This window comes from Homo sapiens, chromosome X (genome assembly GCF_000001405.40).
Source record: "Homo sapiens chromosome X, GRCh38.p14 Primary Assembly".
NCBI classification, from domain to species: Eukaryota; Metazoa; Chordata; class Mammalia; order Primates; family Hominidae; genus Homo; species Homo sapiens.
The window spans coordinates 119,219,280-119,236,059 of NC_000023.11; the positions used below are offsets into that span (position 1 = coordinate 119,219,280).

Sequence of the window (16,780 nt, forward strand, 5' to 3'; positions counted from 1 at the left end):
GGTTGGTATGCCCATTAATATACTCAAGTGGATTAAAAATATTCACAACTGCTGACCCTCAAATACTGTTTTTAGGAATCTTCATAGCCTATGACCCAAGAGCTGAATTTTAAGGAGTGTATCCTAAGAAAATGATCAGAAATAGGCAAAATAATTTGTATGCAGAGTGCTCATTGCAGTTACTGTTCATAAAGAAAAATTGGAAATAAATCTAAATATGCAAGATAAGAGAATGGCCAAATAAATTGTGGCAAATACATATGATAGCATCTTATACAGTCATTAAAAATATGTTCATGAAGAATTCTAGATACGTGGAAAACTGACAAAGAAATGTTCAGAGATAAGAGCAGGGCAGATAATAGCATATACAACTCACTAACTGTAATCTTAGGCTACTTAACCTCTCTCTACCTCAGTTTACTCCTCCGTAAAATGGCATAATAATAGTAATAAGAATGGAACTTGGAATAGTGCTTTGCACATACCAAGTGTTATGTGTTGGCTGGAGTGTGTGTGTGTATATGCAAGTTTGAGGAGGGGGCAGAGGAGACAGAGATGGCAGTCAAGGGACTTTTGCAATAATTGCAGCAACCTAAGTCAGTGTTTCCATGTCTCAGTCTCTAGTTTCATGGTTGCTGAGAGTCAGTTTATGGTGGCAGTGGTAGTGGCTCAGCTTCCCTGGGCTGCAGGTATGGTGTTCTATTCTTTTGTTTTGTTTTGTTTTAATTCATCATTGTCTTTATTTTATAGTAGGAAAACTAAGGCATTTCATGAAAAATGAAGTCAATTGTACAATGCATAATACAGTCAAAGATCTTGACACAGAATTGGTGTCTTAACTATCATTTCTCACCTTTAATCAATAAACATTCCTCTTTAAAGACAATGAAAAATTACTTATGTTAAATATAGAAAAAATAAACATCATTAATTAAACACTACATCTGTAACCTCTTTACATTCATTAACACTCAGGAGTAAAAACAATAATGATTTTTGCTATGGCTTCGTGTTTCTTTAAAACATTAACTAAAATAGATTTCTAATTTGGGAAACATAACTAATGCTATTTGGTTTTTAAAAGAATTGTATCTTAATCATCAAGCTAAAGACATAGCAAGAAAACAATGACATGGTCACTTGAAGGGTGTCTCAGTCTAATTTTCACCATCTAATAAGACACCCTTAAAGTAATTCCAACAGAAAGTCTAAGAAATTCATCGATCAACTTCCTAAGCACATCAGGGAAGGTGCTAAAACAGTGGACATCAAGAACAACAGCAGCAGAACATCTTATTTAAACTTTTGAGATAATAAAACAATACAGAAGTGGGAACCCTTGTGAAATTTTTTTTCTTGTTTTGGTTAACAAGATCATTAATACTTTACAAACCTCATACATGTGGCACACTGTAAGGTTTAAAGAATAAAATAAGGGCCTTTCTGCCCATGGACGCCGCCGAAGAAGCATCGTTAAAGTCTCTCTTCTCCCTTCCGTCATGTCTAAGTCAAAGTCTCCTAAAGAGCCTGAACAGCAGAGGAAGCTCTTCATCGGAGGGTTGAGCTTTGAAACAACCGATGAGAGCCTGAGGAGCCATTGTGAGCAATGGGGAATGCTCACGGACTGTGTGGTAATGAGAGATCCAAACTTCAAGCACTCCAGGGGTTGTGGGTTTGTCACATATGCCACTGTGGAGGAGGTGGATGCAGCCATGAATGCAAGGCCACACAAGGTGGATGGAAGAGTTGTGGAACCAAAGAGAGCTGTCTCAAGAGAAGATTCTCAAAGACCAGGTGCCCACTTAACTGTGAAAAAGATATTTGTTGGTGGCATTAAAGAAGATACTGAAGAACATCACTTAAGAGATTATTTTGAACAGTGAAAAATTGAAGTGACTGAAATCATGACTGACCAAGGCAGTGGCAAGAAAAGGGGCTTTGCCTTTGTAACCTTTGACGACCATGACTCTGTGGATAAGCTTGTCATTCAGAAATACCATACTGTGAATGGCCACAACTGTGAGGTTAGGAAAGCCCTGTCAAAGCAAGAGATGGCGACTGGCTTCATCCAGCCAAAGAGGACAAAGTGGTTCTGGAAACTTTGGTGGTGGTCTTGGACGTGGTTTCAGTGGGAATGACAACTTTGGTCATAGAAGAAACTTCAGTGATCGTGGTGGTTTTGGTGGCGGCTGTGGTGGTGGTGGTGGATATGGTGGCGTGGGGATGGCTATAATGGATTTGGTAATGATGGAAGCAATTTTGCAGGTGGTGGAAGCTACAGTGATTTTGGCAATTACAACAATCAGTCTTCAAATTTTGGACCCATGAAGGGAGGAAATTTTGGAGGCAGAAGCTCTGGCCCCTATGATGGTGGAGGCCAATACTTTGCCAAACCATGAAACCAAGGTGGCTATGGCGGTTCCAGTAGCAGCAGTAGCTGTGGCAGTGGCAGAAGATTTAAATTAGGAAACAAAGCTTAGCAGGAGAGGAGAGCCAGAGAAGTGCCAGGGAAGCTACAGGTTACAACAGATTTGTGAACTCAGCCAAGCACAGTGGTGGCAGGGCCTAGCTGCTACAATGAAGACATGTTTTAGACAAATACTCATGTATATGGGCAAAAAACTCGAGAACTGTATTTGCGACTAATTGTATAACAGGTTATTTTAGTTTCTGTTCTGCGGAAAGTATAAAGCATTCTAACAAAGGGTTTTAAATGTAGATTTTTTTTTGCACCCATGCTGTTGATTGCTAAATATAACAGTCTGATCGTGATGCTGAATAAAGGTCTTTTTCTAAAAAAATAAATAAATAAAATAAGCAAGAGAGCTCCCTGAAATTAGAAACACTGCATTATAATAAACCCCCCCCCTTTTTTTTGAGATGGAATCTCCCTCTGTCGCCCAGGCTGGAGTGCAGTGGTGCAATTTCGGCTTATTGCAACCTCCGTCTCGCGGATTCAAGCGATTCTCCCGCCTCAGCCTCCCTAGTAGCTGGGATTACAGGCGTGTGCCATGACGCCCGGCTAATTTCTGTATTTTTAGTAGAGACGGGGTTTCACCATGTTGGCCAGGGTGGTCTCGAACTCTTGATCTCAAGTGATCCACCCGCCTCGGCCTCCCAAAGTACTAGGATTACAGGCGTGAGCCACCGCACCCAGCCGTATAACTTTTATAGGCACACACTTCCTTAAGTTTCAAGCAAGTTGAAATTCAACCCTTATTATTCACAAGGACTTCAAATAGACCAGTTTACAAACAAGCATGAGCACCCTACAAACGGCTCTTACTACGGAGTTCTTAGGATAAACGTGTTTATACTTTGAACAGTCACGTGAGTATCATAAAGATGGCGATTGTATATCACTTTCCAGTGAAATTGCTTGCCTTCCTTTATGATTTCTTCAGTCTTTTTTTCAGCAGACAAAAGATTTTCTAAAAAGTCTGAATATTCTAAGTATAGCTCATCACCTGGTAAAAGCTAGAGCATCCCATCAGCAGTTAACAAGGTGATCGGCAGCCATCTTTCCAGTCCTTCTAATGCACGATCCAAACAAAATTTGTGCAAATCAGAGAGAGGCAAAATTTTCAAGTCTTCTCATTTCGTAGAACTGTGGGGGTGCCAGCCAAATTTCTTTTGATAAGAAACTTTCAGTTGCCTTTGATGGAGATGACCACTGGCAGCCCACCACCTCCGCCAAGTCGGAGTAGACTGGCGGCGGCTCGCGCAGGCAGCATAGGAAGAAGGCCGCGTCCAAGAGGCGAGTTGCGAGGCGCGAGAAAGGGGTGAGCCAGACGCTCCAGTGGTGCAGCGCCCAGATATCGGGCGTGCAGTCGAGGTGCGCGCACAGCCGCAGGAAATGGCGCGGGTCCCGGGCGCAAGCGGGCGCAGCAGGCGGCCAGGCCCGGCTGCGGCTGGAGGGCGAGGCGGGGCTCTGGCGCGGGGCCGGGCGGGGAGGTCCTGGGCGTTGTTCTATTCTTGAAGCCAATCATCCTAGCGGAGGCTTCCTGATGACCCACTTTTCTGTCTGAGGGCAGAGGTCACAGTACCCCTAATGGGCCTATTTAGTGATAGAGTCCTGGTAGTCATTCCTACAGCCCGAGGCTATAGCCTGTTCTTCCAGCCTTTCCACTGATTTTTGTAAGCTCTTAATTCCCTGTGTCCCATCCTTTTCTCCTCTAAATAACTAAGCAGTTTCTGTTTCTCACCACTGAACAGCGACTAATACAAGGATGAAATTAAAAGTTCTGTTTAGGACATGTAAATATTCTGATACCTATTGATGTCAAGTATGCCTAATGTATACAGAATCTGGAGTACAGGGGTAAGACCAGGGTAAAAAGTTTATTTTATGCTTTTTTCTCCTTCCTTTTGTCTTTCATACAAAGTTTAAATATGTGAGTCTTAAGTATATGAAAAACATTAGGACTGAATGAAATCACCTGAGCAGAGAACGAGACCAGATGCTGGCCCAGGACGTATCTGGGGCACACTCCAACATTTAAAAGTTTGGCAAAGGAGGTGAAAATGGTATGGGCAGCTGAGAAGGAGTAGTGAATAAGAAAGGAGAAAAACCATCAAAGGATGTGGGATGTATCCCAGAAACTAAGTAAGGAAAGTATTTCAGGGTGTAGTGATCAACTCCATCAAATGTTGTACTGTGTGTACAAAGTGCTCTGAGTGTACTTTGTACTCTGAGAGACAGAGTCCAAAGACAAAGTTACAAAAGTGTCCATGGAATCAGAACATAAACAAGAATGGCATTGAAGGAGTGATGCAGGCAAAAGCCCAGTAGAATGAGTAGAAGAGAGAATGGGAGGCAAGAATGTGGAGATGATACATATAGACAACCCTTTGTAGAAGTTTGGATACACAGGGAACAGAAAATGCAGGGGAGTAGCTACTAGGAAGATTTGGGGTTAGGGGAAGGTTTTTGGTTTTGGTTTTGGTTTTTTGTTGTTGTTTTATTTTGTTTCGTTTTGTTTTTTTTTTTTGAGACAGAGTTTCTCTCCCATTGCCCAGGCTGTAGCGCAGTGGCACACTCTCGCTTCACTACAACCTCCACCTACCGGGCTCAAGCGATCCTCCTGCCTCAGCCTCCCAAGTAGCTGGGATTACAGGCAGGTGCCACCACACCCAGCTAATTTTTATATTTTTAGTTGAGAACAGGCTTTCACCACGTTGGCCAGGCTGGTCTCAAATTCCTGACCTCAAGTGATCTGCCCGCCTTGGCCTCCCAAAGTGCTGGGATTACAGGCGTGAGCCACGGGGCCTGGCCCCAGGGAAGGTGTTTTAAAAGAGAAGAAACACTAAAGCATGTTTATCTGCTCATAAGTACGATCAAGGAGAGAAGAAGATAAACTGTGAGAGCCAGGGTTTTGAGAATTAGGCAAATAAATGCAGAGTTCAAGGGGAAGGCCCTTGATAGGAGTAAAGACATTCTCTGCACAGTACCAAGAAGGAAAACAGAGAATACAGCTGCAGGTAGGGTTTGTTGGGTTTGATGGCAGGGAGATGATAGTTTACATCTAATTGTTTCTATTTTCTTAAAGAAATGAAATGCAATATCATCAGCTGAAAGTAAGAATAGAGAGGGGACACTGAAGGTTTGTAGACAGTGAAAATGGTGTCATAGAGTCCTCACAGGGAATGACAGTGGGAGAGAAAATCGAGCACAACTGTGTAGTATAATTCTTGTACAGCATAATTCACTTGTAAATTTTAGTGAAATTTTTTCAGGTGAGCTCTTCCTCATTCATTATCCCCAGGTAGCCACTGACCTGCTTTCTGTCACTATATGTTAGATTGCATTTTCTGGACATTTACATAGATGGAATCATATACTTTTTGTCCCAAATTATTTCATGTTTAATATGTTGTTGTGGATGTTTTAATGTTGTTGTGGATGTTATTGTCTCTTTCTTCATTTTGATTTCTGATTGTTCATTGCTATTGAATATTTAGAATACAGAAATAAAATTGATATTTATATATCAATCTTGTATCCTTTAGCCTTGCTAACTTACTCATTAGTTCTAGTAGCTTCTTTGTAGAATTCGTTGGATTTTCTACATAGATGATCATGTCATCTGTGAATAAAACAGTTTTGATTCTTTTCCATAGTTTTTTTTTCAAGTGAGACCAGCAAGTAGAGTACTGTGCTTTCTACTACAATATTCAGTTGTTTATGTGCAGCTAGGGAATGGGGGAACAGTTGGGTTTAATCACAGCTGGGCTTTTGAAAAGGTCTAGTGTATGACCAAGAGAGAGTGGCTAATGTGGGGTAGAGGAAAAGGTGGTTGGAGGTGAAGAAAGTCAAGGAAGTGGAAGGTCATGGTGTGGGATGGGTCATCCACATTGATGTTAAAGTCACGAAAAATGATGGACCAGCATCAGCTTGGGGAGGACAACTGAGTCTGGAGGGAAAGGCTTCCTCAGTAGAATTTACACACCCTCTGTTATGGGCTTCTGGGGAGTCATGGGTGCGGGTGTGCAGACCAGGACATGGATCCTGGACACTCTGGGACACTGCCTCCCAACCACAATATGTGCCTAGGCTTGGGCATATAGCTGATCCACACTCCCCTCCTCCCCACCCTCAGAGACCTTCACTCTCAGTTCAGCTCAAAGCTCTCAATAACCTAGAGACTTTTTAGAAACAAAGTCCTCTCTACTTTCTTCCTGGCATAAGTAAAGTTCAGATCTCCTTGTCACAAAGCCCTGGCCATCCTCTGTGGCAAGAGTAAAAGAGAGAAAGACAAATTTTGTTTAGCGATGAACTTATAGCAGAAAAAAACAGAAGACAATTCATTTTCAATTAGATTATCTTACCATACCAAAAAAAGAAAAATCAAGGAAAGGATAATTCCCACATATTAACCCTAGATATTAACCCTAGATATTTCTGCTTGGTGGGAAAGTGGGATCGCTCCTGTATACATGCAAAGGGATGGAGAGAGAGAGAGAGAGTGTGAGTGTGTGTGTGTGTGTGTGTGTGTGTGTGTGTGTGTGTGTGTGTGTGGTTTGGGGCACATACAAGCACAAGGGAATAGGGGAATATCTTTGACACCTTACTGCCTGCCACTTCTTTGTTGGTCTCTCCTATTTTATTTAAGTCTTCTGTCCCTACCCTCATATTTTCCTCAGGCTAAAGAGGATATCCACTGTGTGTTCTATGGAGCAAAATTCTCTCTACTTCCATCCCTATTCACCAGTTAGCTCTCTTTGAGGTGACAATGGATATGAAAGGGTTAATAAGATTCGAAAGAACGTACTATTGCTTTAGCAAACCACTGTGTTTCCTAGGCAACATAATGCCTGTATTTCTCTTGTTTCTTCCTGTTTCCAAAAGCCCCTATGGAGGGAATGGTAAAAATATTAGCCTTGGCCAACACTCAAGCCCTTGCTGTTTCCCTCTCTCTCCCCATTCTGCTCCCCTCACAGTTGACCTTGCCTCCTACTTCATGGAAAGCATTGAAGCTGTCAGGTTTGAATTCCCTCTCCCTCTCCTCTTAAAGGAGAAGCTATGATCCTTCCACCTGTTCTTTCGATTTCATCCTCTCTTGTCTCATTCCATGCCACAGGTTTGATTAATATCCACTCTGGGCGGGGTGAGGTGGCTCACACCTGTAATCCCTGAACTTTGGGAGGCTGAGGTGGGTGGATCGCTTGAGGTCAAGAGTTCAAGACCAGCCTGGCCAACATAGCGAAATTCCATCTCTATTAAAAAATTTGCAAAAATTAGCCAGGCGTGGTGGCGGGTGCCTGTAATCCCAGCTACTCTGGAGGCTGAGGCATGAGAATCGCTTGAACCCGGGAGACGGAGGTTGCAGTGAGCCGAGATCCCACCACTGCACTCCAGCCTGGGCAACAAGAGCAAAACTCCATCTCAAAAAAAAAAAAAAAGTACCCACTCTGTCCTGTATTTTCAACCTCTAAGCCTTACTACCTATCTTGCTGCAACTGAAGTCTATGATAGTTTTCAGAAGAACGAAAATCAAACCAGGGAATCCAATTCCCTCTTTTCCCTACCTCCTCTGCCTTAGTCAAGCTTCTCAAACTTCTTTTTTGAGAGATAGATCTCCTCAATCCTCATGTTCCACTCACTCCCTAGGCCACTGGAACCAGACTTCCACCCTTCTCATGCCACAATAAAAAGAGTCTGGCATAGGTAACCCAGGACTTCCTAACTGCCTAGTCCAACTTACACCTTAGTTTTCATCTTTCTTGATCCATTTACAGCCCTTGGCATTGTAAACCTCTCCCTCCTGGAAACCCTCTCTCCTCCCTTTGCTTCTATCGGACCACATTATTCTGCCATTTTCCTACCACTTGTGGTTTTTATTCTCAATCTCCTTGGTGGGTTTCTCTTCCTCTACTTATTCCTACAATGTTAATCTTCCCAAGACTCTATCTTGGCCCTCTTTTTCTCTCTGCAACCTGCCTATAAATGTCAGGCCAGTCATATGAGTAAGTAATGCGAGTCTGGTTGATGTGTGACAATGTAGTATATGCCAGAAATCACAAAGAAATGTGATCTTGCCCTGTTTTTATTTTGAAATAGTAACCCTGTTATCTTTCATTTTCCACTTTTGATAGAGTCATAGGTACAAAAAAATTTTGATTATCCACTTAATTCTGCTTTAACAAAAACAGAGCAAATGTGATAAAAGACAGCTGATACTTATTCTCAGCATTGGGGATACAGCAGGGAGAAGTGGGGCTTCTTTAGGTGTACCTGCTAAAGGAGGCAGCTGCTAATCAGAGATATAATGCCAGATCTTCTCTCTCTCTCTCTCTCTTTTTTTTTTTTTTTTTTTTGAGACAAAGTCTTGCTCTGTTGGCTAGGCTGGGGTTTAAGTGATTCTCGTGCCACACCCAGCTAATTTTTGTATTTTTAGTAAAGACAGGGTTTCATGATGTTGGCCAGGCTGGTTTCGAACTCCTGGCCTCAAGTGATCTTCCCACCTTGGCCTCCCAAAGTGATCTTCTCATTTTTTACGAGAACATTTTTATGTCAGAAATACAGGTTTTATGTAAAAATCTGTTGGTTAACTGCTTACATCTAATATTTTAAAAATTAAAATAATGTGAGGGTCAAATAAACATGTGCTTGAGCCAGCTGTAGTCACCAAGGCTAACAATTTTCAACCTTGGCTTAGAACATTGTGCAATGAGCCTTGAAAAGAGAGAGACCTCTGCCCTATATTCTCCTTGGGATCTAATTCAATGCCAGTGGTTTCAGCTACCACCCATAGGCTGTTACCTCCTGTCTTTACCCCTCCAGTCTAGACCTCCATCCTGAGCCCCAAACCCAAATATCCAACTGGACATATTACTGGATATCCCCACCAGAATGCTCCTTATGCCCGTGCTTTTCAAACATTAATGTGCATGTGAATCATCTGGAAGACTTGTTAAAATGGAGATTCTGATTCAGTATGTCTGGCATACTGCCCAAGATCGTGCATTCCCAACAAGCTCCCAGTGGATGCCAAAGCTTCTGGTTTATGAACCACACTTTAAAACACAATCCCCATTTGCATACAATGTCCTTTTTGCAAGTTTGCTCCTCCTGCTACTTATCTTCTCTTGATGAATGATACGCCATCCACCCATGCAAAAATTGGGGGCATAAGTCAGATGTAGAAGGAATGGGAGAAATAGAGGAGGAATCCAAAGCTCTGTCTCATCCACCTCCTTAATATTTATCATATCTACCCTTGCATTTATGTCCTCACTATCCCAACATTGATTTAAGCCTTCATTTTCTCCTGCGGTAAGGCTGGTGTCCCTGCTCTAGTCTCCACCCCTCCAATTGCAACCTCCATGCTCCTACGAGCATGACACTTTGAAAAAGCAAAATGATCTCATGTAAAGCATGGGCTCTGGGGCCGGAGTGCTGAGTTTAAATCCCAGCACTGCCTCTTACTAATTGTGTGACTTTGGACAAGTAGCTTAACCTATCTATGTATTGGTTTTTTTCATCTATGAAAAGAGGATGATAATAGACCCTCACTTGTGAGATAAATAAGATTTGAAAGCAGGAAGGGGAATGACCCATTAGAATATCTGGGGAAGAGCATTCCAGACAAATGGAATCACATGTAAAGTGTTCATAGCACTCAGTAAATACACATTAGCTGTGACACTGGCCACATCATTCCTAGCTTCATTATGGTTGGAGTGTTGAGGGTAAGGAGAAAGTAGAAAGAGATAAAGCTGGACAAGTAATCTGAGGCCAGATCATGGAAGGTTGAGTTGCCTGGGAAAGAGACTCTGTGATGGAGTTTACTATGTAGAAAATTGACTCAATAGTGCTCTTGGGATCTACACCTGAAATGTAAGACAAGGGAGTAGGATCGGGTGGAGGGAGAAGCTGAGCTTCAGTGCAGTCACAATGCAGCTTCCATGAATCCCACAGGGAGCTCTGAGCCTGGTATGACTCCTCGGAGTTGTCCTTAGATGGGGAAAGGGAGACAGGCCTTTATATCCCTGTATTGGCCATTCATTACCTGCAGGCTGCACTAAGAAGGATCTGTGACTTTGGGCTAGAAAGCTCTCTTTAGCCCAGCGCAATCTCAGGAAGAGGATTTCATTGCAAGCTGTCAGTCACCAACACTTTCAGCAGTTGGGGACCTGGGAGAATGAGTGCGTGAGTCCTGAAGTGGGGGTGGGAAGTGAAATCTGGGTAGGTATCACACCACAGTTGGGTAAATCATGCCAAGGACTCTGGACTTGATTTCACTGACAATGGGGAGTCATTAGAAGGTTTTCCTAGAATGGGACATGCTGTTTTGCACCTCTGTACCTTTGTTCAGAATGCTTTTTTTTTTTTTTTTTTTGAGACAGGGTCTCGCTCTGTTGCCCAGGCTGGAGTGCAGTGGCATGATCATGGCTCACTGCAGCTTTGACCTCCTGGGCTCAGGTGATCCTCCCAGGTAGCTGGGACTACAGGCATGTACTACCACACCCGGCTAAATTTTTGCATTTTTTGTAGAGACAGGGTCTCGCAATGTTGCCCAGGCTGGTCTCAAACTCCTGGGCTCAAGCAGTCCACCAACCTCAGCCTCCCAAAGCACTGGGATTACAGGCGTGAGCCACTGCACCCGGCCCCAGATTGCTTCTTCTATCTCAGTGTTTCTGACCTGGATTGGAATCACTTGGGGTGCTTGTTCACATGTTAGAATGCAGGTCAAATAGCTTAATGGTAAACAGCCAAGGTTGGAAGCAGACTCACTATATTTGAATTCTGACATTCCACTTACTAGCTGTGAGACAGTGGACAAGTTCCTTAACTTTTCTGTACCTGTTTCCTCAGCCGTGAAATGGGATAATATAACCAACTGCCTTTTAGGAAGAGTACTCGAGTTAATCCACAAAAGGGCTTAGAACATTGCCTAGCAAGTAATAAGTGCTCAAACAATGTCAGCTATTTCTAAAGATTCTCAGGCTTTCCCTTAGACCTATTGGATTAGAATCTTTGAGGGCTGGTCCTAGGAATGGACATTTCAATAAGTGCCCTCCCCCTCTCCAGATTATTCTGATCCTCACTAAAGTTTGACAACTACTGGTTCCCCAGAAAATTTATCCCCTTCCTTGTCCACTTGGTGAATTTTTTTTCTTTTTCTCTTTTTTTTTTTTTACTGATAGGCTTAACTGGTGCCATGAAAATTTTTAAGACTCAGCTCAATGTCATTTCCTGTATGAAACCTTCCTAGATTACACCTCCCACCATCCCTTGCCAACCTCCCCCTTACCATGTGGAGACCTCAACCGCAGCATCTGTAACCTTTTGACTGTCTGTCTCCCCTTGCTAGACTGTGAGCTCCTTCTTTGAGGGAAAGGACTTTGCATCCGTAGGCTCACCACAGAGTTTAGCATGGAGCTAGAGCTCAATCAAGGTTGGTTGAGTGGATGTAGATGGGCAGGTTCCTTTGGGGTCTCTTTAAAATCTCAGCATGAAGTCTCCAGTCTCTGAAATTGGGAATGTGGATCCATATACTATCACTCAAGACATAGTTGGCAACTGTAGAATTTTGTTTTCTAGTCTTTAAATTTTTAAACTTTTTATTGCTTGTTACAATAATAAAAAGAGTTTATATTCACTGGATAAAGAAGATAGCAAAAATTACCTATAATCTCACAACCCAGAGATAACTCTTAGGTGCATTTCCTTCAGATTTTTTTTTCTGTGCATGGGTATTTAACATAATGGGCTTCCATATTCAAACTCAATTCCACAAATATTTATTGAGCACCTACTACATGCCAGGCACTATTCTAAGCACAAGGAATACAACAGTGAAGAATATAGACAAAAGCCTCTGTTCTTGTGCGCCTTATGTTCAAGTTGGAAGAGATAAAAAAAATGAGAAGTGATACTGTATATAAGGAAGCAGTAAATGCAATGGGGGAAAATGAAGCAGGGAAGGAGGATGAGGAGTAGGAAGAAGGTGGTGTGAGATTTGAAAGTAGCGAGGGAATGACCCATGAGAATGTCTGGGGAAGGGCATTCCAGACAAATGGAATGACAAGTACAGAGGCCCTGAATTGGAAATATGGCTGCTTGTTCAAAGGGCAGCAAGGAGGCCACTGTAGCTGTAGTAGAGTGACCAGGGAAGAAAGTGGTGAGATCCTAATGTCTTAAAGGTAAGGGTGGGTAGAGTACCGCAGATCCTGTAGGGCCTTGTAGGTGCTATAAGGACTTGAGCTTTTACTCTGAGTGAGATGGGGAGCATCTTTGGATACTTAGGCTGTTTCCAGTTTTTTGCTATCATGTATCATGCTTTGTGATTCTTCTACTCAAATCTCTGTTCACATCTCTGAACACTTCCCTAGGGGAAATTCCTGGAAGTTAAATTTCTTGGCCACAGGCTAGGAATAGTTTGAGGCTTTTATTGCATATTGCCAAAGGACTTTCTAGAAAGCCTAGACCCTTTTACAATATAATTAAGTTCAACAAATATTTATTGCATGCCTACTATGTGCCAGACATGGTCTAGGGGCTTGAAATACATTGGTGAACAAAATGAATCTTGCATTCTAGCAATTTCACTCTTGCCAATTGTGTCAGAGTGCTTGTTTTACTCTGTGCTTGCCAACACCAAGTATTACCATTCTTAAAAAGCTCCAAGAAACAAGAGAAAAAAGAACACTCCAGTCATTTGAATGATGAGAAATGGTGCATTGTTTTTATGTTCCTTTGGATTTATTTGCTTCCTTACTAGGCTGAATTATTTCCCAAACATTTTCTAGCTAATCAGCCAATTGTTCTATTTTTCTCTGAAAGCTCTTTAAAACCTTTGAAAATAATTAAAAGGAGACAGAAAGTTTGAAAACACTAAAAGACTTAACATGTATCTTGGGAAATAAGTAGTCCTTGGGTCAAGTACATCGGCTTTAGGAATTGACTTGGAGCCAAAGAGCATATTAAGGCAACTCTCATGTTCTGAAGGGGGCTTTTTATTCAGGAGCACTCTTGCTTATTTCCAGATAACTTGAGAACTGCCACCCTGGAGGAGACCATTCCACTCAGCATTGATTCTGACATGAGCCTGAATGATGGGATGCTTTTCTTCAACAATCTCTACATCCCAGTGTTAGCTAATAGCCCACTTTATTGAACATCAAATCTGGTTTGCAAGCATTTATATTTTTAAACTGTATCACTTCTTGAGGTCTTAAGTTGCACAAGTTTTCTACCCTCCTTGTGAAGCAGGACTTCCTTTAATCCATTATCCTCCAAGGGGACACAGAGGTGTAGCAGAAGAGACACTGGACTACGATAAATGAGAATTATTAATCCTCCCCATCCCTCCATGAAAACACTTTCCCCAGATTTAATAGCGGTTACCTTTGAGGAAAGAGAATCAAGAGTGAGGAGAGGGACTTCAGTTGTCTTCTATATCTTCCCATAGTTTGAATTTTCTAACTTTAGACAAATATTACTTTGAAAAAACATTCCAGCAGGGGTTATCTGGGTGGGGAGCTAATGGCTTGGTTTTTGTTTTGTTTTTTTACTCTGTGTCTCTCTTTATTGGAAAAAAATGATAAAACTTTTATTATATAAAATTTCCCCCAGTTTTATAAAACAAAATGTGTGTGTGTGTGTGTGTGTGTGTGTGTGTGTGTGTGTATGTTGCATGTCTGCAAGAATATAAGCCAAACTGCTAATGTATGGGCCTGATTTAAGTACTGTTTGGGGAACTTGGAGAGGGAGAAAGGAGTTTCATTTTTTACTTTATACACTCACGTATTGTTTAAGTTTGTTATAGTGAACATGTATTATCATTCTACATTTTTTTTCAGAAAATAAATAATAAACCATTTTCCCCCCTGAGGTTAAAAGTGACACATGCCCATTGTGGAAAATGTAGAAAGGTATAAGGAAGAAACTAACAATCACAACAGTTAACATTTTAGCATATTTCTTTCCACGCTTTGTTTTATGAATTTTTTGACATAGTTGAGTTCATACTGTATATAGTTTTGTATCCTGTTTTTCCCTCAAGATTAAAACACAAGCGTTTTGCCATGTCATGATTTTTGGTAAAAGAATTTACCAAAACAGTTTTAGTTAAAAGAAGGTAGATTTATTAGATAAAGTAGGAAAATATGTTGTCAGAGAGACAAAGGGCAGCCTGCAAGAGAGAAGCCAACTGCCAGGAGACAAAGGCTTGCTGGAAATTTTATAGGATGGCGTTTATGCTGTCTGTTGAAGAGGTCTTTGTGTAATATTGATAATGCCAAGGTCGCAATGAGCTAACTTACAGGTGTCTGGTGATAGCTGGGCATGGGAAGATTGTGAATTATTTGCGCAGGAAGGCTGCATCTTGGTCATGAAGAAAGGGAGATTTGTAGCTTATTTGCTTTTTCTTTTTGCTATTTCATGCTCCCACCAGCCTGATTCCCTTTCCCTAATTAGGACTCCAGAATGATGATATTTGAATGGCCTTTTAATGGTTTTGTCACAATTCAAGTGAATTAATTCGCCATTTTATTTGAAGTCGGACATTTAGGTTGTTTCCAGTTTTTCTGTATTAAAAATGAATCTCTGCTGAGCATCTTAGTAATGAAATATTTGTCTGCGTTTCTGTCTCCTTGGGATGGATTCCTGAAAATGGAATTACTAGGTCAAAGAGCAGATTTCTAGAAGTGGGATTAATGGATAGAAAATATTTTTATGGATAATAAAAGGTTATACCCAACAGCGTATGTGAGTCTCACCACTCTCTCGCCAATAGTGTGTTATCCTTTTTTTTTTCCCTTTTATCTTTCCTGTAGAAAAGTAGTAGGTGACAGCGGCATCTCCATGCTTTTCTTTTTGTTACTAATGAGACTGAACATTTTTCATATGCTTATTCACCACTGGCATGCTCTCTTTTGTGAACTACCTGTTCCTATTTTTTCCCATTTATTGACTAGAATCTTATACATTTTCTTATCAATCCAAATGATCTCTCAAATAAATATTAACCCTTTGTCATATTAGTTGCAAATGAAAATATTTTATAAGTTTATTAGCTTTCTAAATTTTCTTGGCCATACATGTTAAAAGAGATAGATTCTAACTATAGACAAGTGCCCTCAGTTTGAGCCTGTTTCTCCATGATTAAATTGAAGAGTTTTGACAAAAGATTTGGAGGGGCTGTTTCAGCTAATCCCAAATTTAGCTCTGAGAAAAATGCCTGGGCCCGATACAAAGATTGTTTGGCTCATTGCACTTTATAATGATTTAAGAAGATGTGGGGGGCAGGGATGGAAGCAGTTTTTGCCAGAAATTTTTAGAATTCTGAGGTAGGAAGCCAATCTTTACTCAAGTCTCTTGCGTGTTGGGAGGAGGAGTAAGTTATGTGCAAGCCAACAGAACACTTGGTGGAAAAGTACTGCTCTGGGCTGCAGATGTGTGCACGGCTTGGTTTTAATTATTTGTTTCCCTCTCTATCCTTTCTTCTCCTCCCCTCCCCCCGCCACCAGAAAAAGGGCCAGATTAGGACGAGGCAACCCCTTCCTCCGTGGAGGTCTGCTTCTGTGCAGCCTGTTAGCACATCAAAGGCCGGATGAAATACCTAGGAAAGGAAGGGACCAGGCCTAGGATCCTTCCAAACTCCCGCCTTTGTCTGGGCTCCAGCTCAGGGTTATTGTGACTGCCAAGGGTAGCCTGACAGACTCCAAATAGAAGAACGCTGCCAAACAAAGAAACTTTCACATTATTCTGAGGGGGGAAAAAAGAGCAACAAGAGAACGTTGCTTGTTAATGCCTGGTGACTGAGCAAATCAGTAATTGCAAAAGGGTTTTTCGGAGAACAAACCCAAAGTTAACTGGGCGATCAGATTCGTTTCCCCAGATAATAGGGAGAGTTGTGCACTGACTTTAGCAATCCCGGGGGTGTCGGTCCCACAGCATCTGGGGGAGAATTGGGGAAGGGCCATCAAGGAGAGCGAATGGGGGTTCCCAAGGTGAAAATGAGTCGTGTAGGGCTCTAACATAGAAAATGGAGTTCGAAGAATGAGTTTCCTGTCTCCTAAGACAGCTTGGAGGGCCCGGGAACGGCAGGGGGAAGATGAGGGGCTTCAGAATGGGAGGCAGGGAAAAGCCTGCAGCAACAGAAAGGGAGTCGGTGTCTGGCGCGCATCAGGTGGCGGAGGGGCGCTCGCACAGAGCCCGGCAATGCCGAGGCCCTCCCAACGGGTCGGTCTGCGAGGAGCAAAAAAGGGGTTCAGAGGAGGGCAGCGCGTGCGTCGCGCTCAGCTATAGGATGGCGCGAGGATGGCGTGA

The 16,780-nt window shown here is 42.1% G+C and overlaps 3 pseudogenes, besides 1 other annotated feature; 1 reads left to right on the top strand and 2 right to left on the bottom strand.

The window, feature by feature from the left end:
• Nucleotides 726-1,439, bottom strand: NUDT19P1 (NUDT19 pseudogene 1; annotated as a pseudogene).
• Nucleotides 1,442-2,662, top strand: HNRNPA1P28 (heterogeneous nuclear ribonucleoprotein A1 pseudogene 28; annotated as a pseudogene).
• Nucleotides 2,663-3,226: 564 nt separating this feature from the next.
• NUDT19P6 (NUDT19 pseudogene 6) lies at nucleotides 3,227-16,434 on the bottom strand (annotated as a pseudogene).
• Nucleotides 16,729-16,778: a silencer, noted in NCBI's record as "silent region_20953". NCBI's record gives its function as "represses an Ori minimal core promoter by ATAC-STARR-seq in GM12878 lymphoblastoid cells {active_cell/tissue: GM12878}" and the evidence as "EXISTENCE:reporter gene assay evidence [ECO:0000049][PMID:35858748]".